General features: G+C 44.5%; 1 protein-coding gene across 2 annotated transcripts in view; it reads left to right on the forward strand.

Annotated features, from left to right (window-relative positions):
* Window positions 1–25,023, forward strand: part of SQOR (sulfide quinone oxidoreductase) — a 60,134-nt gene that overhangs the window by 24,711 nt on the left and 10,400 nt on the right. For both annotated transcript variants that reach the window (NM_001271213.2, NM_021199.4), the window contains 5 exons: window positions 3,049–3,299; window positions 6,097–6,267; window positions 14,070–14,123; window positions 17,749–17,943; window positions 20,243–20,452. In NM_001271213.2, coding sequence (NP_001258142.1) covers window positions 3,066–3,299; window positions 6,097–6,267; window positions 14,070–14,123; window positions 17,749–17,943; window positions 20,243–20,452 — 864 coding nt within the window. In that variant the 5' untranslated portion in view covers window positions 3,049–3,065. The remainder of the gene's footprint in view (window positions 1–3,048; window positions 3,300–6,096; window positions 6,268–14,069; window positions 14,124–17,748; window positions 17,944–20,242; window positions 20,453–25,023) is intronic.

The following is a 25,023-nucleotide window of genomic DNA, read 5'->3' on the forward strand; positions in this document are numbered from 1 at the left end:
TGTATTTTAGTAGAGACGGGATTTCACCATGTTGGCCAGGATGGTCTCGATCTCCTGACCTTGTGATCCGCCCGCCTTGGCCTCCCAAAGTGCTAGGATTACAGGCGTGAGCCACCGTGCCTGGCCTATTTTTTTTTTTTTCCCCGTTTAACATTATCACACAAGCATTGTTTTGTTGCTGTTGAGACATATTGTTCTAAAGATCATAGAGATAGTATGGTGTAGTGGTTTAAAGTAGAGGCTCTCACACCAAAATACCTGGGTACAAATCACAGTCCACCCATGGGCTATATAACTTTGAGAGTCACTTAACTGCTATCTGCCTTAGTTTTACCATCTGTTAAATGGGAATGATGGTGGTAGCCAACTCACAAGTTAAATGCTTATGTAAAGGACTTTGTAAATGTTAATTATCATCTAAAGGAAGATTTTATTAATATTAATTTTATTTATTTATTTTGAGACAGGGTCTCCCTCTCTTCCCAGGCTGGAGTACAGTGGTGAAATCACAGATCACTGTGGCCTTCACCTCCCGGGCTTGAGTGATCCTTCCACTTCAGCCTTGGTAGTAGCTGGGTGCACCACCATGCCTGGCTAATTTTTTTTTTTTTTAAATAGAGTTGGGGTTTCCCCATGTTTTCCATGCTAGTCTCAAACTCCTGGGCTCAGGTGATCCCTCTCTCTCAGCCTCCTAAAGTGCTGGGATTACAGGTGTGAGCCACCATGCCCAGCCAATATTAATGTATGTGTATAGTAGAGACTTTTATAAAATACATAAAAGCAGAAGAAATCAAAATCACTCATTATTCTAAAACCCAGAGAAAACCACTTGCCAGTGTTAAAATTTTGGCTTTGTTTTTTCTAATATATTTCCTCTTACATAGTTGAGAGAATATTGCATTTCTAATTTGTATCCTGATCATGATGTAAACATTTTTTATTTATTTTATTTTATTGTTTTTTTCAGACAGAGTCTCACTCTGTCACCCAGGTTGGAGTGCAGTGGCATGATCTCAGCTTACTGCAACCTCTGCCTCCTGGGTTCAAGCAATTCTCATGGCTCAGCCTCCCTAGTAGCTGGGATTACAGGCACACACCACCACGCCTGGCTAAAAATTTTTGTATTTTTAGTAGAGACAGGGTTTCACCATGTTGGCCAGGGTGGTCTTGAACTGCTGACCTCAGGTGATCCACCTGTCTTGGCCTCCCAAAGTGCTGGGATTACCGGTGTGAACCACCACGCCTGGTCTATATATTGTTTATGAACATAATTTTAAAAGACTTCAGAAATCATCTTGTGTTCCATATTTTAGTTAACCTTTCCCCAGTGTTTTGATATTTGCATTGCTCTCTGCCCCCATATTAAAGTGGTGACCTGAGCCTTCCCTGGCCCGTGTGGAGCCTGCATTTTTTTTTTTCTGTCCCCAGGACATAATTAGCCCTAATCCACAAACCAATTAGTAGAGGGGTGACCAGATTATGAATACATTTGTGAAAAACATCTTTGTAGTGGTTTTTCTTCTTCAGTATTAGAGGTTATTTCCTTAGATTAGATTCCTAGAAATGGAAATGCAGGGTCAAAGGGTAAGTTTCCAGAAGGGTTTTATTGACTCTAGACTCCTGGAAACACTGTATGAGCCTGTCCTACTTACCGTGGGCCTCCAAATCCCCTTCCTACAGCTCTAGGTTGCTTCTCAGATCTGAAATATTGAAGAAGTTGTCGGGGCACCAAAACTCTGGAATTAAGTTAATCTTAACAGCCCCTCAGCTCCTCTTTCCCATTCCCTATTATTTTTCCCCCTCTCCAAGGCCTTTCTTTCTTTTTGTAGCTCCTCTGCCCTGCCAGCTTTCTCTAATCCCCTTGTGCAGGCTTCCTCTTCTCCAGTCGGGAGGATGGAAATGATATAATTAAGTCATTTTATTAAGTAGTTAGTAACCTTAGCAGCTAGAAGTGTTAGTCCCCAGCTGGACACTTGCATTTTAATAAAGGGTTCTTGGAGCAGTGGTGAACCCTAAGAACTGGACTTGACGGTAGGATTTGGGGCACTGTCATACCCAGGGAGGGAGATATCATGAGCCGGAGCCACTCAAGGTTTACAAGTAGATGGAGTCCTGGATGTCAGGCCAGCTTTGTGTGTGGGGTAAAGCAAAGGTCAGTCTTTGAGAAGCCTTAATTTCCTCTCTGCCAAAGCACTAACTGCTGAGAGTAGAAACAGGTTTTCTTAAAGGTAAAGTGAGTCTCTCGGAGGAACTATTAAGGAGAAATTGTTTACTGAATTGGATGTAATAAAAGACTAGTCAGCAGCATATACAGATTCCTTCCATAAAATATAACTTTATGATACCAGGCAGGGCTCCTTTTATGGCTTTCTAAAATCGTTTGGTTGAAATTGCTAGAGGTGTGGAGGGCCTTCACTTGTGTGTCGGTAGCCAGTGATTTGATTACATTATATTTCCCTGGGCAAGCAGAGCCAGGAGGCCTCTGGATGGGGGCTGAGGCCTTGATTGCCCTGGTGGGTACTCTGAGTTGCAGAAGGTGGGTTTCTTGCTAGACGGTTTCTGTTTCAACAAGGTCTCAGGTGCCTTTTACTGCAAGGAATGTTGTAGGTCTCTAATTGTGGACTCGTATATCAGTTTTAATGGACTGAAAATCCACAGAAAGCACTGGGGAGTGTGCCTCCGTGGAGAATGGGCCAACAGCTGGATACAACCAGATGGTGCCCTAGATCTTACGGATGGACAAGGATGGGTACAGACAGGTTATTAGGAAGGACTTAAAGAGTTGGGGAACCTGATTCAAACAAAGTCCTCGATAGCCTGAACGTAGGCGGAAGGGGAGAAATGGTAAGTGTAGTCAACTGATAGCTACCAATTGGGTGCTCTCAGGAGACCTTGGGACCACAGCCAGTGGGGAAAGTGGTCTTGAGAGATGATGGGGACCAGCTGGAGCGGGCCAGATGCCGGCCTCCCTTCCTCCTGGAAAGAAAACGCTTCAGTCCCACGATGGTTTCTACCTTGGCACTCACAGCCCTGTCTCTTCCCTTCCAGCCTGATCCTGCCTGAAGATGGTGCCACTGGTGGCTGTGGTATCAGGGCCCCGTGCCCAGCTCTTTGCCTGCCTGCTCAGGCTGGGCACTCAGCAGGTCGGCCCCCTTCAGCTGCACACCGGGGCCAGCCATGCGGCCAGGAACCATTATGAGGTGCTGGTGCTGGGTGGGGGCAGTGGCGGAATCACCATGGCTGCCCGCATGAAGAGGAAAGTGGGTGCAGAGAATGTGGCCATTGTTGAGCCCAGTGAGGTAAGCCTCCCCTTTTGAGGGCCTGGGTGTGTGTGTACGTGTGTGTGTGTGTGAGTGTGTGTGTGTGTGTGTTCTGGGGTTGGATATGACTATCAAGCAATGGGTCTTCATATGTTCAGGTTAGGGCTTCTCCTGGGCACAGAAAGCAGCCTATCCAGAAGGACTGGGAGGAAGTGGAGGGAAAGAGAGAGGGAGAACAGATCTCTTGGCTTTTAGTGTTCTCCTCTGTATTAGTTTCTTAGGGCTGCCATAACAAATTACTGCAAATTGGGTGGCTTAAAACAACAGACATCTATTCCCTCACAGTTCTGGAGGCTAGAAGCCTGAAACCAAGCTATGGGCAAGGCCATGCTCCCTCTGCAGCCTGGGTGAGAGGGATGGGCAGGTGGCTTTGTCTCATGCCTCTCTCCCAGCTTCTGGTGGTTACCCTGAAATCCTTGCCACTCTCTGGCTTGTAGCTGTGCCACTCCTTTCTCTGCCTCCATCTTCACAGAATGTTCTCTGTGTGTCTCTGTGTCCCTGTGTCTTCACATGACCCTTTTATAAAGCCACCATTCATTGGATTTATGGCACACTCTATTCAAGAATGACCTCATCTTAATTTGATTACATTTGCAAAGACCCTATTTCCAAATAAGGTTACATTCCCAGGTACTGGGGTTAGAACGTCAACATCCTTCTTTGAGAGAGATACAATTCAACCCATGACACTCTCCCAGTGCCAACCTCCTGCCCAGAGGAAAATCAATGGCCACTGCACTTGCCTATCTGTTCCTGTCTGGAGAAGGGATGATGAGTTGGGGAGCAGGAAGGCCTCTGGAAAGCTGTCAGTGGGCTTAGAAATTTAAATGCAAGGGCAGATTATAAGGGAGAAAAGGTAGCTGACACTAGGAGGGAAGACTGAGTAAGGCGCTGTCTCACAAAAAACATGTTAAGATTGTCCAAAAGCTTCAGAAAAATATTCAAGATTTTTGGTGGTTTGCCTAATGTTTCCTGTGGAACTAGGCATGTACTGGTTGGGAGCTGTATCCTTGGGAGGAAAAAGCAAAATGGATCAGGTGCCTGTTTCAGGGGGAGGACAGGACAAGGAAGACATACTCCTTTTCAAGATTTGTCCCCAGCAGGGAATGATGTTAACCAGGGCCATGATTTGAGAGGAAACTAGGGGGCAGTCTCTATCATTTTCCTTTTTAAAGTGACGTCTGTTCAATTCAGGAACCTCACTTTAAATGACAGTGGTCTGAGAGCTGTGTCAGGTGGCTACTGTTTCTGGTATATGTTGTATTTTAGCTAATGCGTGGGCGGGTCTCCCAGTCAGGCTTCTCTTTGTAAGGAGACTGGCTCTTCTGGGACCTGGGCACAATTCAGGCGGCCAGAATCAAGTTTGTCCTGCCCCGTGAGGAAGTACAGGACAGGAATTTCTGGAAGGAGCTGCCAGAGCCCCAGGCTTGGTACTTTCCCTGCTGAGTCTGATTTAGTGATAGCTGGAGCTGATGTTCATAGTCTAAAAATAAAATCTGAGCTTGTATTTTTGCTCCTCTTACTGTTCAAGATAGACTGGCCATTGATGAGCTCTCATAAATGGAGACCTCTGTCTTCCTCCCTCTTGGATCACATTATTGCTTGTAGGGAGATTGCAAAGTCATTCCTGGTGTCCTCTTCACCTCTCTGTGGGTTTTGGCAGTGCTGGCCAGCTACTTTGAGGCATTTTGGCAATATTGAGAGCTCTTGGTCCCCAGTCTACTCTAAGTGGATTGGAATTCTTAGAGGCCATTAAACAAATCTGCCCTTTGCCCCTATGTCCAGAACTTTTACAACTAACTTAGATCAAGAATGGACTGTTGCTGGGCACAGTGGCTCAGGGCTGTAATCCCAGCACTTTGAGAGGCTGAGGAAGGCAGATCACCTGAGGTCAGGAGTTCAAGACCAACCTAGGCAACATGGTGAAATGCCATCTCTACTAAAAATGCAAAAATTAGCCAGGCATGGTGGCACATGCCTGTAGTCCCAGCTACTCAGGAGGCTGAGGCAGAAGAATCGCCTGAACCTGGGAGGTGGAGGTTGCAGTGAGCCGAGATCGTGCCACTGCACTCCAGCCTGGGTGATTGGGGTGATTGGGCGAGACTCTGTCTTAAAAAAAAAAAAAAAAAAAAAAAAGGACCATCTGAAGCAAGAAAACTCCAGAAGATAGTGAAAGTTTGGGTATGCATTGCATTGTGGAGTAGGATCTGGTACTTATTGTCTTTGGTGTAAAATCTCTGAGTCTCTGAGAAAGTAGAAGAAGGGCTGTTCAGGAAACACAGCCCTCACTGGGCTTGGGAAACACAGTTGGAAGTTAATGAAGTTTAGAGGACCTCTGGAAGGGGCTGTAAACTTTCCAGACTTACCACTGTCTCCACATGCTCCTGAGGAACCATATCTAGGCTGCTGGGCTTAATTTTTAAAATATTTGTTCACATGAAGTATCCATAATATGTGTGTAGATATGCACGTGCATATAACATGTACATATTAAACACCAAATCAACTTTCAGCAATACATAATGCAGTGGTCACTAAAGATAGTTTATAGCTTTTCTGATGATCTTGGAAGAATTCTTGTGTGGAGTGACTGTCCTTCAGAGCTTACCATAATAGGAGACGCCTAATAGACGGAGCTAACTTTGTGGAGACTTTTCCATACGATGCTCTAAAGGTCAGGAGGGAGTGATTGAAAGAATCTAGCCCATACTGTTAGCTATGACCCCTTTTGATCAGTGTCAAATTGCAATAAATCTTCAAATACTTTGTTTCTCAGAGACATTTCTACCAGCCAATCTGGACACTGGTGGGTGCTGGTGCCAAACAATTGTCCTCATCTGGTCGTCCCACGGCAAGTGTGATTCCATCTGGTGTAGAATGGATCAAAGCTAGAGTGACTGAGTTGAACCCAGACAAGAACTGCATTCACACAGATGACGACGAGAAGGTAACCACTGAGGCCTTTAGATTTTTTGTTAATCTGACAGCTTGTATTAATATGCAGCCATCTTAAACTGGATAGCCTTGTGTTGAAAGAGCGGTATATATGCATGTGTGTGCATGAACGTATGTGTGTTGAATACTACACAAGATGGCAGGGTATGTGGTAAGTGGAGGATAGATGGAAGGACTGAGTGATATTGAGTTAATAAACAACTAAGATAAGTATTTGTTGAACACCCACTGTGCACCCTATTGCTTAGTATACTATCTTGCACCTGAATGTTTATCAGACCATTTGTTTATACGTTGCTACATGTTAAAATAGCAAGCACCTTCCTCCTTCTCTTTTTCTGAAGCAATCAGATTTTCTACCGGTCGCCTAGCCTCCCAGAACAATAGGATGCTGGAAAATATCCATCCAGCCACCCTGGGGGGCGCTCTACCAGAACTGTAGGGGAATCCTGTGACTCTGAGGTTCATGCCAGCGCTAAGGAGAATTGTTGCTGGAGCTTGAGGCTCACAACTGCTCAGCACCTTTTAGAAGTCTCCCACCCTCACCACTCAGGGGTCAAAGCTTTTCAGCAGTGGCCGCCCCATGTTTGACTGAGGTGATAAGAGCAGGATGGTGGAAGGCCTGCTCAGAAGCCATCTGCAGCTTTCTTTTCCCCCACCTGCTGCTGAGCCCAGGGCAGGGGCAGGCAGTGCAGCCACCGTGCTCTGACCTGTTCCAGGCTCCTGTGGTTTTTGGACTCACAAGGTGTTATTGGTCTTAATCCTCTGCCCCTTCCCCCTTCAACTGGGACTCTGGCATTTTCACGGAATTGTAGAATCAGAGTTGGGTGAGGATCCTAAAACGTTTTCAAGTCCAACCCTTCCTCCAACAGAGATTCATCTGCTGAGGCATTATTTTTTTTGAGACAGAGTCTCACTTTGTCACCCAGGCTGGAGTGCAGTGGCACAATCTTGGCTCACTGCAACCTCTACCTCCTGGGTTCAAGCGATTCTCCCACCTCAGCCTCCCCAGTAGCTGGGACTACAGGTGCGCATCACCATGCCTGGATAATTTTTGTATTTTTTGGTAGTGACGGGGTTTTACCATGTTGGCCAGGCTGGCTCGAACTCTTGACCTCAAGTGATCCACCTGCCTCAGCCTCCCAAAGTGTTGGGATTATAGGGGTGAGCCATTGTGCCCGGCCTGCTGAGGCATTGTTAAGCTTTTTTTGGGTCATGGATCTTTCTGGGTACCAGATGAAAGCCCTCTCTAGAAAAATGCACCTATGTATCAGATTTTGCATTTGCTTTTAGGGAGTTCAGAGATTTTCTGTAGCTTTTCCCTGGACCCTGATCAAGAGTACCTGCTTTGGCTGAGCATGGTGGTTCACACCTGTAATCCCAACACCTTGGGAGGCTGAGGTAGGAAGATCACTTGAGCCCATGAGGTCAAGGCCAGCCTGGGCAACATAGTAAGACCCTGTCTCTACAAAAAAAATTAAGACATTAGCTAGGTGTGGTGGTGTGTGCTGTGGTTCCAGCTACTTGGGAGGCTAAGGTGGGAGGATCACTTGAGCCCAGGAGTTCAAGGCTGTGGTGAGCTGTGATTGCGCCACTGCACTCCGTCTTAGGTGACAGAGCTGTCTCCAAAAAATAAAAAAATAAAAAAAACACAAAAAGAAAAAAAGAGTACCTGCTGTATAGCATTTATGATCCTTGGCTTTCTGGCCTCCATTCATTCATTCTACAAATATTTATTAAGCATCTACTATAAGCCAGGTGCAGTTTTAGGCATTAAGGATATGTGTAGTGAACAAAAACAGACACAAATTCTTATTGAACTGGATATTATATTCTAGTCAGGGAGAACATACAATCAACATAGACATGATAAGTAAATTATATAGTATGTTAGAATGTGATGGTTATTCATGAAAAAAAATAGAGCTGATTTGGAGCTAATTGGTATTGGGGCACATGGAGGTGGGGGATTGAATTTAAAATAGGTTGGTATTTACATAGTCCATGGCCAAGGAGTTCTCTGATAAGTTAACTCTTCATCTTTTTAGACACGTGGGTTATATGAAAGTTCTGTCTTCACTGAGCCAGAATCCACCTTCCTGTAACTTTTTTTGTATTCTTTCTTGGACACCCAGGATGTTATTGTTTTTAATACACTTAATACCTTTCTTAATACTTTTATTCCTTGTTTTGTCCTGTTGTGTATGAGAGAAGAATGTCTTCTCTCTTTTCTGTGGAGAAACCCTTCAGCTATTTGAAGATGGCTCTTATGTTTTATGTAAATTTTCTCTAGGTATATGTGTCCCCCCCATCCTCATGTCCCTCAATTCTTCCTCACATTTCATGGTTTCCAGTCCCCCCAGCCCCCTCTTTATTCTGCTTTAAACACCATCTGGCTTGTTAGTGCCCCATGAAAGAGGTGCCTGGAAAGAAGGCAACTTTACAGAACAGCCCAGAATAGCGTGGAGCCATTCTCTCCCATGATCTCATGCTGCATAAGTTAGCATTTGCCTTTTTCGTGACAGTTACCACGGTGCTGATTCATGCTGGGCTTGAGGTCGGTGCAAATTGCTGGGCCCTTTTCACATGACCCACGATCAAGTCAGGCTTCCCCCATCCTGAAAAAGTATAGTTGTTATTGATTTTACCTAAAGGCAGAAATGAATATATATAAGCAAATACCTATATGCATATATATTTATTTTAATTAAAATTTTTATATATGGCTTTTGTCCTGTTACTAGTTCAGAACTTTCTTATTTTTCTCAATGTCTCCGGGAGACCAGACTGAATTACACTCAAGATTGTTCTCAATCACAAGGTTGAGCTTGGTGGCTCTCTTACCTTGCCAGTCTCCTGAACACAGGGCCAGGAGACCTCTCTCATATCACACACAGCATCTCTTTGGTACAGCAGGGCCTGCCTCATTGTTTGGACCCCTTCAAGCTACAGGAAGAGCTTTAGAGCCTTCGGTGGTTGGGTTCATGCTCATCTCAAGGACCATATACTTTACTCATCTCTTGGGAATGACAGGCACTACTAGGTGTTCTCACTGCTGAGTCCTACCTATTACTCCTAAGGTTAGACACTTAGGAAAGCTGTAGTGTCTTGTTTTAGGGCAGAGAAGTTGGTGCAATGTAGTGGGACTTTCTTCCAAGATTTTATGAAGCAAAACGACTTCATAGCCAGATATCAGAAATACACATGACATCTCATGTGAGAAATCATCCTGCTGGTTTTAATTCATCCTCCCAACACATCTGGGTCTTTTGGATTTATGACTCTGTCAATCCATTAGCAATTTTTCTATCTGTTATTCACAGGTGGTTTCATATAAGTTCAAAGTTTTAACTCTGTAACATGTCACTAGAGAGCTTTTTTAGATTGCACAAAATTAGTCAACATTTCTTTAGCAAATATTATTCAAGTGACCAAATCATTCCATTCTGTCTTTTTTTTTTTTTTTTGGAGACAGAGTCTCACTCTTTTGTCCAGGCTGGAGTGCAGTGGTGTGATCTTGGCTCACTGCAACCTCTGCCTCCCAGGTTCAAGTGATTCTCCTGCCTCAGCCTCCCGAGTAGCTGGGATTACAGGCATGTGCCACCACGCCCAGCTAATTTTTGTGTTTTTAGTAGAGACAGGGTTTTGCCATGTTGGCCAGGCTGGTCTCAAACTCCTGACGTCAGATGATCTGCCCACCTCGGCCTCCCAAAGTGTTGGGATTACAGGTGTGAGCCACCGTGCCCAGCCCATTCCATTCTTAGTTTACACTTTCCCACCTTATTGGTGAAAGACTGAGCTGAAGGCACTGTTGAAACCCAGACTCAGTGTGTCTCTGATTCTTCCCTGATCCGGGGGTGTGTTTGTCTGAAACACATCTCAAGGCCCTGTGTAGACTGGTCCTTGCTCCTTCTCCAGGCTTAACCTGGTTCTATTCTCTCCTTGTTCCTGCTCCTGCCATACTGGCCTCCTATTTCCTCAAATGCCTCAGCCTTTTTCTTACCCCAGGACATTTGCACATGCTGCTTCCACCTCTATCCCTAGCTAACTGCTACTCATCTTTAGCTTCGATATGACTCCTTCAGGCAAGCCTTCCTTGACTTCCCAGACTAGGTCAGGTTATCCCTTGATGTGCTATCACAGCATTCTGTGATTTAGTAATTATTTGTGTCATTATCTGGTAATGCCTATCTCACTCACTAGATGGAGTTCCTGAAGGGCAGGAAGTGTATCTTTCTTGTCCATTGTTTTATGCCCAGGACCTAGCACAATATCTGGCACATAGAAGGTGCTCAGTAAATATTTGTGAGCAAATTGTGTCTGTTTCTTCATTTGTAAAATAATAATAATAATAGTACCTAGATACCTTATGAAGTTGTTGTGAGTGTTAAATGAATGAAACCATATGAAGCACTTAGAACAGCACCTTGCACAGAGTAAATGCTCAATAAATGTTGCTGTTATTTTTAAAAGAATACATAAAAAGGAAAAGGATATATTTATTGAGTATCTACTATATGCCAGCAGTTCTTGATTGCTGATTGAAAGCAGCAGGCTTATCATCTGTGAACCTATGTTGGTGCTCCTTTTCCTCTCCCCTCCCCTTCCCTCCTCTCCTCTCTCCTCCCCTCCCCTTCTCTTCCCTCCCCTCCCCTTCTCTCCCCTCCCCTCCTCTCCTCTCCCCTCCCCTCCTCTCCTCTCCCCTCCCCTCCCCTCCTCTCCTCTCCCCTCCCCTCCCCTCCCCTCCTTTCTCCTCCTCTCCCCTCCCCTCTCCTTTCCTTTCTCCCATCCCCTCCCCTCTCCTCTCCTTTCTCCCATCCCCTCCCCTCTCCTCTCCTTTCTCCCCTCTCCTCCCCTCTCTTTCTTCCTTCTCCTTCCCCCTCCCTCCCTCCCTCCCTTCCTTCCTTCCTTCCTTTCTTCCTTCCTTCCTCTCTCCCTCCCTTCCTTCCTTCCTCCCTTCCTCTCTTTGTCTCCTTCCTCCCTCCCCTCCCCTTCCCTCCTCTCCCCTCCCCTCCCCTCCTCTCCCTTCAGCCTTGCTCTGTTGCCCAGGCTGGAGTGCAGTGGTGAGATCACAGCTCACTGCTCCTTGAACTCTTGGGCTCAAGAGTTCTGAGCCGATCTACCTTAGCCTCCTGAGTAGCTGGGACTACAGGCACACACTACCATGCCCAGCTAATCTTTTAAAAAATTACTATGAAATGTCTATTTAGTAGTTGAGTCTAGAGTTTTGCAAAGGATTAATAGCCTATTTACTAAGATGTTCGTGTCAGAGTTTACGTCTTCTGACCCCTGTGTAATATGAGAATACTTGCAGATATTCAGCCTTCTGGCAAGGTCTACACTGTTGTGCGTAACTGCTCAAAAGTCTTGTCTATAAGCTTTTGCTGTTCCTGGGGGTTTAGGTCATCTGACCTGAAAACTTGAACTCATTCAAAAGGCTTGAGGTTTTCTTCTTGCTTTCTTGCTATGGAGGGTTTATTCTCTCTTAATGATTTTTTCCCCATAATCTTAAGCTGGCATGTTTTTAGTCCTTAGACATAATGAATATTATGCTCTAATAAAATAGAGCATAATCAATATTATTTGCATCATGTTTGGTGGTGGCCTGCACAAACCAAAAGCTCCTCTTGTTTCCAGTGGTCATATGTTTCACCTGTAGATCATCACTACCAGACCCCATGCTAGCTCTTACCTAATATGCCCGGATTGCTCAACATGGTTTGGCCGGCCATTTAACGGGCCTGGTGCCCTTTCCTACAGAAGATGGAATTTCAATACATCATCTTTCTTTATTTCTTTCTTTCTTTCTTTTTTTTTTTTTTTTTTTTTGAGATAGAGTCTCTCACTGTCACCCATGCTGGAGTGCAGTGGCGTGATCTTGGCTCACTGCAACCTCTACCTCCTGGATTCAAGCAATTCTTCTGCCTCAGCCTCCTGAGTAGCTGGGACTACAGGCGCCCGCCACCATACCCAGCTAATTTTTTGTATTTTTAGTAGAGACAGGGTTTCGCTATGTGGGCCAGGCTGGTCTCGAACTCCTGACCTTTTGATCCACCCGCCTCAGCCTCCCAAAGTGCTGGGATTACAGGCATGAGCCACTGCACTGGCCAAGACATCATCTTTCTATGGATAGGCAAAACATACAGATGAAAATGCTTATATTATCTTCCACTTAGAGAAATTGTACTTTTCACAAGCAACTGAAATCATTCATCTATCCATTCACCCACCAAACATTACAGAGTTCCTCACTTTAATTTAGTGACTGTGCTAGATTCTAGGAATGTAAGGAATAAGACATAACTTTTATCCTCTAGGAGTGGTCAGTGTGCTGGGGAGAACAAGTGCTAGGAAGCCTCATGCACACTATGCTGGGGAGCTCCTGGGAGGGGCCAGTGGTGAGGGTGATCGTGTCATAGTGGGAAAGCCTGCTGTGGAGGTGGCTTTGGGGCTGAAGCTCCCGGATGCCAGGGCAGGGCCTCTTGACTGCACGTTACTTCCCTTGGCTCCTCAGCCAGAGCCAAGCACTCTCAGGTCTTGGAGTCCTCTCTCTCCAACTGCGATTCGCTCGGGTTGCTTGCTCTGCTCTGCCATTTAGTACAGGATCATGGTAATCACCACCTGTTTCTTCTTTCTGGGCTCCTGAGTCTCACTGCAATCATTTCCTAACTCCAGTTTTCTAGGCAAGTTCTTGTACTTTACGGCCACTTTGTTTACACTTTTTGGCCTAAACTTGTCTTCCTCTTTGTCCTAAACCCACATTTCCATCATGCTACTTATGCATACAATACCCGTATTTGAAGAAGGGACTTTTTTCATCCCATACAGGTCATTAAATAAGATCAGGTACACTATGTCATAGCCTTTCAATGACCTTGAGATTGCTCAAAAGAGCAATCTCCCAATTACGATATTGGTCCAATCCACATGACAGGTCAGACTTGCTTGGGACTCACATATTACCCAATAGATTTTAGTTTTTTATTTTTAATATACAATATACTAATATATATTTTTTATATATATATTTTTTATTTTTTTTTAATTTTTTTTTGAGACAGGGTCTCACTCTATCAACAAGGCTGGAGTGCAGTGGTGTGATCTCTGCTCACTGCAACCTCCACCTCCCAGGCTCAAGCGATTCTCCCACTTCAGCCCCCCTGGGGACTACAGGTGCATGCCACCGCACCTAGGTAATTTTTGTATTTTTTGCAGAGACAGGGTTTTGCCATGTTGCCCAGGCTGGTCTCCAACTCCTGAGCTCAAGTGATCCACCTGCCTCGGCCTCCCAAGGTGCTGGGATGACAGGTGTGAGCCACTGTGCCTGGCCTACCCCATAGATTTTAGACAGTGGATTGTCTTTTAAGATTAGGAAGCCCTTCTCTTACCTCTCAATATGAAAAAGTGTTAATACAAGCACTGTACAAATAATTGTGGCCTCTCACTGTGTAAACACATAGCTGTCTCAAGCTTTCTGGGGCTAGGCAGCTTACAAAATATTTGTGAAGCAGTGAGGTGTGAGGCATAGACGGCAGAGGGCATGATGGGAGTGGACACGCATCCCTCCCTGCCAGTCTGCCCACCTCCCCCAGCCCCAAGACATTCAGATTAAAAAATGGGAACCTGGGCAGGACTCCCAACCTTGTTCTGCTTCGATTTTCTCATCTGTTCTATGGGCTAATAATATTTCCCTGCCTCCCTTAGACCACATGGAACCACATCTGGGGCCTGAGTCAGTCCTTGAGTTGATGCTTCTTGAGTCCTGGTCTAAAATAATGTCTTTTTGTGTTGCAGATCTCCTACCGATATCTTATTATTGCTCTCGGAATCCAGCTGGACTATGAGAAGGTACCGTGTGAAACTGTTTCTGTGTTACGCTGGCTTATCTATGCCAAGAGCAAATGCTGCATTTAGTTGCTTTATTATATTCATTTTGACAAGAAAGGGGTTCTAAGAAAATCTCTTCTGGTTTTATTTCTTGGCAGTCCTTTTACAGTTTTAAGGAAGTCTTCTCTAAGATTCTGTCGATAATAACCATATGTTCTAGCTTTAAGCTTTAATTAGAGTTCAGCATGCTCATGCCTTAATGATTAATTCTTGCAAAACAGCAGTTTTCTTTCCACATTTGTAAGAAACATGTCTTTCTATGTGGGACAGAGTTGGCTGTATTGAAGATTACATTCCGCTTTGGAAGTAGGGTTTAGATTATAAATTTTAAAGCAGACTTTAAGGGGTGGAACACCAGCAGTTAGCTCGTCTGTTGCTGGAGGGACATCTGGGTTTTGTTGTGTCGATACTGGGTTTTTAGTGTGAAGTAACCGATGCAATGGAAATGCCACTCAGAAGTTCCTCAGATCCCCGTTTTCAGTGAGCTAGGGAGCCAGATGCAATTTGAAAGTTTTGAGATTCAACTTCATTTTTCTAAAACATAGCAGAGTAAATCGGTAAATATTATCATTTCCAGAAGGTTGTTGGGGACTACAGATAAATAGTTGGAGTACAGGAAACATCTGTGCTAACCGGGTAACAAGCTTCAGGAATGTGACCTGGGCAAGGGCCTCAACAGAGTTGGCCCAGTAAGAATCTTTGAAGTGTGTTGAATTGTGTCATGTCCAGGGGAAGGGTAGTGAAAATGTCTTGGGTTGTGTTGTGGGAAAGTTCAGAGAAGCTACAAGTTGTTGTGAATGTTGTAAGATGGTTTTGAGTCATGGTGCCATGGGTCGTGAGTCTGTTAGAATGACAGACAAGCTATGAAGTAGACGATATGGAGAAAGGTGTTTATTACAACTACTTTCAAGGGGGCCATACCTTCCAAAAAGGCCCCCACAGTGTTGACCTAGCAAAGGCAATGCGTCTCCATGGTACTGTCTTCCCAAAGCCCCAGTGTCATGTGAGAAGCACTGCAGAGGCCAGTGCTCAGAGTTCATAGCAGCCTCTTGTAGCAAACCAAGTCACAGAGATATTTAAAAGTAGCCATTATTATGGAATCTCTATTACATACCAGGAACCATGGTAGGAATCAAATATTGTTTCTTTTTTCTTTTGAGATGGAGTCTTGTCACCGAGGCTGGAGTGAAGTGGTGTGATCTCAGCTCACTTGCAATTTCCATTTCCCAGGTTAAAGCAATCTCCTGCCTCATCCTCCAGAGTAGCTGGGATTACAGGTGCCCACCACCATGCCCGGCTAATTTTTGTATTTTTTTTAGTAGAGACGGAGTTTCACTGTGTTGGTCAGGCTGGTCTCAAACTCCTGGCCTCAAGTGATCCACCCGCCTCAGCCTCTCAAAGTGCTGGGATTACAGGCGTGAACCACTGCACCCAGCCAGGAATCAAAAATTGATTCTTTACAACTACTTGTGAGGGAGGCATTTTTATCTTCACTTAATAGATGAGGAAACTGAGGCTAAGGGAATGTAATAACCATGGTCACTGTGCTACTTGGGACTCTTTGATTGCAATTTCAAGGAAACTACTCAGGTTGGTGTAAATAAAAAGTAGAGATCATTGATGAAAATACTGAGATGTTTCTAGAACACTAGGGCAAGGATGTAGCTGGGCCTCTGGCAGGGCTGGATCTCCACTTTGGGTTCTGTTGGACTCAGGCAGCCTCTCTTTGTCCATCTCTCTTAGCCTCTTTCTCAGGCCAGCTTCACAGGGTCTCTGCAGCAGGCCGTCCTGCCTGCCGGTCTACTCTGTGTGATAGGATAGTCCACGGCTCCCCAGTGCACAGCCTGTTGCTGGAAGCCAAAGGAGGAGTCACATCTCATCTCTTTCCCTGACTCTCCCTTTCCCTCTCTCCCCTCCTCTCTAGCTCTCTCTGCTTCAGAATTCCCAGGGAAGCAACTCTGACTAGATGAGGGGTCAAAACCACCCTTTTTGACGCAGGTTTTCCTGAAAGGAGCTTGGTTACCACTTTACGGCAACTTTTCCATCAACGACAGCTTCTTAAAACTAGAGAAAACTAATGAAGGTGATAAGACATCAACTGCTTGTTTCTGCTTGTTTATCTCTTGGATAGTGAGATTTGCTTTGGGAACTAGAAGGTATGGCGGTCCTGTGCGAAGACCCCCAGGCAGGTGGGCAGAGGCCTTGGTGTCTGGTTCTTTAAGATTCTGGGCAGGGCTCCATCCATTCTAGGGGTTAATATTCCCCTGCCTCCCTCAGAAGTACATAGTGAATATCCATTGTTAGCATTGATGTGAAACTTTGAAAACATTTAAATGCAAGGTGATTTTATAATAATAATGATATTATTATTGAGACTGCCAATGTTACTACTATCTAACTGTAACAGGGGTGAACAGTAACAAATAGTTGCTTTTAACATTGAGTGTGATAAGTAATGAACTCAGGCCACTGAGGAGATGAGAGGACTCTGTTTCCTTGAGACCTCAGGGATAAGTGTCTGGAGTGACTTTGGAGGTGGCCCAGAGAATGGGCTGGGGAGGCTCTGAAGGACCAGGCCATCTTGATGACTGTTTCTTGATGATTGAAGTTGAACCTGCTCTTGCTGAGAACTGAGGCTTAAGTCTCTTTAACTCAGTCTGTGACATCTTCATTGCACTCTACGAGCCTTCTAACATTTATAATAGGTGTCTAGTTGATCTTATTGGCAATAATCAGCTAACATTTACAGGACATTTGCCATGTGCATGTGTCCTGTACATGCATGGCCTCATTTGCTTCTGCCTACAACCCTGTGAAGCAGATACCTTATCCCCATTTCACAGATGGTGAACGTTAGGATTCTCAAACCTGAGTGTGCATCTGAATCAGCTGGAGGGCTTGTTAAAACACAGATTGCTGGGCCTGCTCCCAGTTTCTGATTCAGTAGGTCTAGGGTGGGGCCTGATAATCTGCATTTCTAGCAAGTTCCCAGGTGGTGCTTGTGCTGCTGGTCTGAGCACCACACTTGGAGACCTACTGGCTTAGAAGTATTAGGTAATTTACACAGGGTCACAATGCTAGTAAGTGGAAGAGCCAGGACTCAAACTGGTATGTGGGATCCTAAAGTCCATGTTTTTAGGCACCTGGCTTTAGTGCCTTTATCTAGAGTTTGGTCTGGTACAACCTGATAAAGAGTGATTTAAGTTTGCTATTCTTGATGATATAAATGGCTCTTGGTCCTGCCAGTTGTTCTTTCCAGTGAGGCAACTGGGTCTCCTAAAAGGAAGGCTGGCTGGCGTCTTGTCCTCACTCCGATGGTGGGAAAAGTTGTATTCAAATTGTATTCTCAAGGCCAGGGAGTTGAAGGGTTCCTCTGAGCTGAGCCCATTCTGCAGTTTGACAGGTGACTACAGGTGCCACAGCTCTGGTCTTAGAACCCTCACCCACCTGCCTGCTCTAGGCATGTGGGTATTGGAGGGTAATGATAGTACTGAAATATTTGAAAGGTTGTAGAAATGGCAAAGAACAAGGACTCTAAAGACATTTGCACTTTTGTTTAAAATAATTTTTGTGTACTTTGTTGCAGATTAAAGGCCTACCTGAAGGTTTCGCTCATCCCAAAATAGGGTCGAATTATTCAGTTAAGACTGTAGAGAAGACATGGAAAGCTCTGCAGGACTTCAAAGAGGGCAATGCCATCTTCACCTTCCCAAATACTCCAGTGAAGTGTGCTGGAGCCCCTCAGAAGATCATGTACTTATCAGAAGCCTACTTCAGGAAGGTATGCTTCCTTTCTGGGGACAGAGATGAGCAGGGCGGACAGTGCTAATTCACTGATTGCAAGAATTCCATTTTATCTCTATTGTAATCCCTTTTTTATCTCGGAATTTTTATTACATGTGTACAAAATTAGTTAACTGGAAGTTTATAAAATATAAAAGAGGAGAAAATCACTCATGATCCAATTGCTTTAATAAAGCTGCAGTTTTCAATTTGACATGGCTTTCCAGCTTTTTTTCTGTATACTTAAATATGGTTACAGTCATAGTGTACATGAAAAATTTAGCTGTATTATGTAATATTAAATAGTCTTTGTTACATACTTTTTAAATGTGTGTGTAAAAGTCTACTGGATGCTGGGTGTGGTGGCTCTCGCCTCTAATCCCAGCACTTTGGGAGGCCAAGGTGGGTGGATCACCTGAGGTTAGGAGTTCAAGACCAGCCTGACCAACATGGAGAAATCCCGTCTCTACTAAAAATACAAAAAAAATTAGCTGGGCGTGGTGGTGCATGCCTGTAATTCCAGCTACTGGGGAGGCTGAGACAGGAGAATTGCTCGAACCTGGGAGGCGGAGGTTGTGGTGAGCCAAGATTGTGCCATTGCACTCCAGCCTGGGCAACAAGAGCGAAGCTCCGTCTTAAAAAAAAAAAAAAAGTCTACTGGAGAGATATGTTAGAGACTGTTTAAATATTTCCATATAGTTAGACAATTAGTTGCAGATTGTTCATTTTTATCCATAATGCTATCCACTACTTCCACTCAAGTTTAAGGTCATGAATATTTTCTGTCCCTTGGGTATACATTAAAAAAATATGATACGGAAAATGCCAATTTAAAAAGCAAAAAAATGTTCTCATAGAACTTTAAACCTTCATGAAAAGAGATATTTGGGCAGGAGGAGACTTTCTCAGCATTCTCCAAATGCTCTCTGTGTAAGAGCAGTTGTCTGCAGCTCAAGTACACCTGGCTTAAGCTTGTAAGGGAAGCTGTTCTTGCCCTCCCTGCTCTTGCCTGGGGTTTGACATTTAGTTTACCAAAGTGCGGTTTGGCTTGAGACAGTGGCAGGATTTCTAGCAGCTAGTCGTGTATGGGGACAGATGGGAAGAAGGGTGGGGAAGAACGGGCTGGGGAGTGGTTGAATGTGCTCATGGAGGCTGGGACTGATCAAGACCTTCCCCTGAGCTCTGTAAACTGCAACAACCCTGTGAGGTAGGGAATTAAAGGCAGTTCCAGTAATCATTTCTGACCCCAAGAAAGTTCATTCTGGGTCATAAAGGGCTGGCACAGCCTTTTGAGACACTTACCCACCTGAATTCTTCAAATGGTGAGATCCGGGTGAGCAAATCATGAAAGGAGCCGAGCAAAGGAAAGAAGAAGAAACCAGCTGTTTCTTCCGTCCTGGAAACTTCTTTGTGTAACTCTTTTCTCCCAAGTCTTAGATGGCCTACGAGGAAGGTTCGAGTACCATAAGATCTTAGGCATTTGGGAGAATATTGGCCTCTCTGATCTTAGGCATTTGGGAGAATATTGGCCTCTCTGAACAATATCAAGAAGGTAGGAACTCAGGGTTTTGTTGTTACTGTTTTTTAGTTTGTTTATTTTTTTTTTTTGGAGACAGAATTTTGCTCTGTCACCCAGGCTGGAGTGCAATGGTGCAATCTCAGCTCCCTGCAAACTCCGCTTCCTGGGTTCAAGCCATTCTCCTGCCTCAGCCTCCTGAGTAGCTGGGATTACAGGCGCCTGTCACCATGCCCAGCTAATTTTTATATTTTTGGTAGAGACAGGCTTGTCTCAAACCATGTTGGCCAGGCTGGTCTGGAACTCCTGACGTCAGGTGATCTGCCTGCCTCGGCCTCCCAAAGTGCTAGGATTACAGGTGTGAGGTACTGCGCCTGGCTGGAACTCAGTTTTGCTCACTGCTGTTCCCTCAGCACCTAGGACAGTATCTGGCCAACTCTAGAACTTTGTTAAATATTTATTGAGTAAATGAATACATGAATATATGAATAAACATTCCGTTCTACTCTACTCTGTCTTGACCTGGACCTAACCTTCACCTCTGGCCTTCAGCTGGACAGTGCCCACCTCAGCCCCCAACTCAAGTGTGTACTTAGTTGTATGTCATGGGCAGAACATAAGGAGGAGGCAGTGGATTGGTCTACCCATTGCTCTGCCAGGACATAATGGTGGCAAAAGCTAGCAAGGTCCCTGCTGAGGGTTTTAATTCTTGTCTGGATTAAAAAAAAAAAAGGCAGCTGCAGTCATGCTTTGGTGTGAATGGTTTTCTTATTTTTCTCAGACAGGGAAGCGATCCAAGGCCAATATCATTTTCAACACTTCTCTTGGAGCCATTTTCGGGGTTAAGAAGTATGCAGATGCCCTGCAGGAGATCATCCAGGAGCGGAACCTCACTGTTAACTACAAGAAAAACCTCATTGAAGTCCGAGCCGATAAACAAGAGGCTGTATTTGAGAACCTGGACAAACCAGGAGAGACCCAAGTGATTTCAGTGAGTGGTGAGGCTAAGCTGTCAGCATGAAGCGTTGTCTGCTGAAACGTGCCATAGATACATGGGGGCTCACACCACCCTATCTGCCATCATTGTGTGCTGGGGAAGACTGGGTGAAATGAGCATCTTAGGGAAGTGTTAGGGCAAGAAGGTAGGCCAAAATGGTTGGGGAAGAGAAAGATGTAAGAGGCTGTGTCAGTGGGAGGTGAGAAGGTGTCGTTAGCTGGTGCCAAGTGAATTTTTGTCCTATTCCTTTGACTCAACTTTTCCTGGCATCGAGTCACTTGAGGTAGCCAAAAATATTCCACAACTTTGGTTACTGTGTAGAGGTAAGGGAGGGCTTCCTCGAATGCAAGATCTGGTGATTGTCTCAATTGGTGGCATGTGAGAAACAGTCCTGCTTGTGAGCAGGAAGTAACCCTGTGGGTAGTTGAAGAAAACAGGGATTGGCTGGGCATGGTGGCTCACGCCTGTAATCCCAGCACTTTGGAAGGCCAAGGCAGGTGGATCACTTGAGGTCAGGAGTTCGAGACCAGGCTGGCCAACATGGTGAAGCCCCATCTCTACTAAAAATACAAAAATTAGCTGGGCGTGGTGGCACATCCCTGTAATCCCAGCTACCCGGGAGGCTGAGGCAGGAGAATCGCTGGAACCCAGAAGGCGGAGGCTGCAGTGAGCCGAGATTGTACCACTGCACTCCAGCCTGGGTGACAGAGTGAGACTCCGTCTAAAAAAAAAAAAAAAAAGAAATAATCTCAAACTTAGAGAAGTTACAAAATAAAAATAGTACAAAGAAAATTGTATGTAGCTTTTACCTAGATTCACTTGTAGAATTTTACCATTTGCTTTAGCTTTATCATTTGATTTCTTCCTTCCTTCCTTCCTTCCTTCTTTCCTTTCTTTCTTTCTCTCTTTCTTCTATCTGCCTTTGTCTATCTATCTATCCATCCATATCTAGTTTTTCCAAGGAAATTTACATATATCATGCATCAGCTCTCTTTAGCCCCAAATACTTTAGTGTTAATTTTCTAAAATAGAAGTGTTCTCTTACATAACCACAGTACCATTATCAACTCAGGAAATTTAGCACAGATACAATTTTTTAACTTACTATTTGTATTCCAATTTAGTTGATTGGCCCAACTGTGTTTGTAGCATTTTTTCCTCCAGTGCAGGACTCAGGCTACAGTCAGGTATTACATTCAATTGTGAGGTCTATTTAGCCTCCTTTAATCTGTGATGTTTCTATAGCTTTTCTTTGTCTTCTATGACGTTGATATTTTGAAATAATACAGCCCTCTCCCCCACCACTTTTCTTTCAGTAGAATGTTCCTCATTTTGAGTTTGTCAGTGTTTTCTTGTGATTAGTTTCAGGCTTTGATATGTATTTATTTATTTATTTATTTTTGAGACGAAGTCTCGCTGTGTTACCCAGGCTGGAGTGCAGTGGTGCAATCTCAGCTCACTGCAGCCTCTGCTTCCCAGGTTCAAGCGATTCTCTTGCCTCAGCTTCATGAGTAGCTGGGACTACAGGTGTGCACCACCATGCCCGGCTAATTTTTTTATTTTTTATTTTTAGTAGCGGCGAGGTTTCACCATGTTGGCCAGGCTGGTCTCGAACTGCTGACCTCAAGCCATCCACCTGCTCGGCCTCCTGAAGTGCTGGGATTACAGGCATGAGCCATCGCACCTGGCCTCAGGCTCTGTTTGTTAGACTGGAACATTGCATAAGCATTGTGCCATTCTAAGGTATCACATTTGCAAGCATACAGTGTTCATCTGCCCTTCATTGGTGATGTTAATTTTGATCAGCAGTCAAGATGTGGTCCAGTTTTTCCAGGGGATAATTACAATTTGTTTTCTCCCTTGCTACTAATAAGAAGTCTGTGGGAAGACACTTTAAAACCATGTAAATAGTCTACTCATTCAAGTCTCCCCACTAGAGTTAGCATCCATTGATGATCCTTGCCTAATCAAATCTTTACTATGGTGGTTGCAAAATGGTGATTTGCTAACTGTGACATTTCCTGCACATTTACCAGTAAGCTCTTGGCATTCTTTCAGCGAGAGTCTTTGCTTCTTAGTTAATTAACTATTGGTATGAACTCATGAGTTCCTATATTTTTTCTTACAGTGTTATCATTCATTATTGTTTTTAATTATTATGGTGCTCAAATTGTTTTGGATTTGGTCAGTAGATTTCCCTTCCAGCTGGCTCTTGTGTCCCTGTGACATGCCCCATCATGTGTTTGAGCACTTCCTTTACTTTCTGGTGTCACAGGTTGTCCCAGGCTCATCTAGTATCTATCTGCAGCAGCTCAGGGTCATCATTTTGAATAGCTCCTGTGTAGTTATGCACACAGAGGCTACTGGAATGTTTGGAGCTAGTTATCACTTTATAAAAGGGTCTCAAATTACTGCTGTTTGTTTTTTGTGTGTCCTTTTTGTAGTTTTCCTTTTTCCTGGCTGTCAGGCCGTTGTTAGTGACTTTGGGAGGTCCCTCCAGCTTTAGCTTTTTTAAATTGCTGCTCCTCAAATGGCCTCACTCAAATGGGCTATGAGTGAGAGCTCATATGAGTGAACTCATTTTTACTTTACAAAAGAGCCCATTTGAGAGAGTCCGTTTGAGTGAGCCCAAGTTGGGCTTTCACTAAAATGAGCTATGAGTAAGAGCCCGAAGCATCCTTTTATGAGCAAAGTGTATGAACTTGAGTGCATGAACTTAACTTTGTTAGTACTTCGTTTCCCAGCTGTCCTCTGGATAGCTGAGGTTGTAGGTAGGGGTGTGGATAAATGAATGGTTATTATTCTTCTAAGGGGTTTGTAATTAAAGAAGATATTTGTGTCCCCTTTGAATTATAGGATTTCAGGTCAGATATTTAGTTCCACTCTTAAAATCTGAATTTCAAAAAATCCACCAGAAGGATGTAAAGCTGTGGCTCTTAACCCTGGCTACATATTAGGGAGCTTTTAAAATGTGCTGATGCCTGGCCTCTTTATAAGAGGTTTTAATTAATTGGTTTGGGGTGCAGATTGAGGATGGGGAGTTTCAAAAATTCCCCTAATGACTAATGTTCAACCAGGATTGAAAACAACTGGTGTGAAGAATTGGGCCGGACGTGGTGGCTCAAGTCTATAATCCCAGCACTTTGGGAGGCCGAGGCGGGTGGATCACGAAGTCAGGAGTTTGAGACCTGCCTGGCCAAGATGGTGAAACCTGTATCTACTGAAAATACAAAAATTAGCCGGGCATGGTGGCAGGAGCCTGTAATCCCAGCTACTTGGGAGGCTGAGGCAGAGAATTGCTTGAACCTGGGAGGCGGAGGAACTAGAAGACACTTTGGAGATTGTCTAGTCTAGTGCATTTCTTTATGGATAAGCAAACTAAAGACCAAAGAGATGAAGTGACTTGTCCAAATAATAGCATTCTATTTTTCTTTGTAAATGAACCTGTTCCTTCAAGCCAGAGATTGTAAGCATGTGATCCACAGATTTTACATATCAGAATCACTAGCAGATTTTAAAGTACAGATTCCCGTGCTTTACCCAGATCTACTAGATTGGGATCTTGGCATGGTGTAGCCTGGGAACCTGTATTTTCCACAAGTCTCCCCAATGCTGCTAATAAACATTAAAGTTTGAAAACCACCACACTGATTGGACTATGTATGTTAATGAAGGAGGACCAAGTTATTTATCCTATACAGTTACAGAAATAAATGATAGATAATGAACAAGCTACAACTAAGTGCCAGTGTTTGTTTGTTTGTTTTTTTCTTTCTTTCTTTTTTTTTGTAGACAGGGTCTCACTCTGTTACCTAGGTTGGAGTGCAGTGGTACAACCGTGGCTCATGGCTCACTGCAGCCTCTACTTCCCAGGCTCAGGCAATCCTCCTACCTCAGCCTCCTGAGTAGCTGGGTCTATAGGCATGCACTACCATGCCCGGGTAATTTTTGTATTTTTTTAAAGACTGGGTTTTGCTGTGTTGCTCAGGCTGGCCTCAAACTCCTGGGCTCAAGTGATCTGCCCACCTTGGCCTCCCAAAGTGTTGGGATTACAGGTGTGAGCCACCACACCTGGCCCAATGTTAATTTCTTTTTATTTCTTTTTTTCTTTTGGAGGCAGGATCTTGCTCTGTCACCCAGGCTGGAGTGCAGTGGTGCCATCTTGGCTCACTGCAACCCCCACCTCCCAGCCTCAAGCAAGCCATCCTCCTACCTCAATCTCCTGAGGAGCTGGGACAACAGGCATGTGCTACTATGCCTAGATAATTTTTTGTGTTTTTGGTAGAGAGGGGTTTGACTACGTTACCCAGGCTGGTCTCGAACTCCTGAGCTCAAGCGATCTGCCCACCTTGGCCCCCCAAAGTGTTGGGATTACAGGCATGAGCCACTGCACCTGGCCATTAATTTCTAATAAATCCATAAAGTAGACCCTTTTGTAGGATGTTAGCTCAGGTAAAACTCCATACCTTTATGATGATTATATGAAAGTATTTAGCTTTTCTTTTAGAAAAGAGTTGTGGAATTTGTGTGTACTTGTGAAATTCAAACACATTAACTCCACCGAG

Source organism: Homo sapiens, chromosome 15 (assembly GCF_000001405.40).
Source record: "Homo sapiens chromosome 15, GRCh38.p14 Primary Assembly".
NCBI lineage: Eukaryota > Metazoa > Chordata > Mammalia > Primates > Hominidae > Homo > Homo sapiens.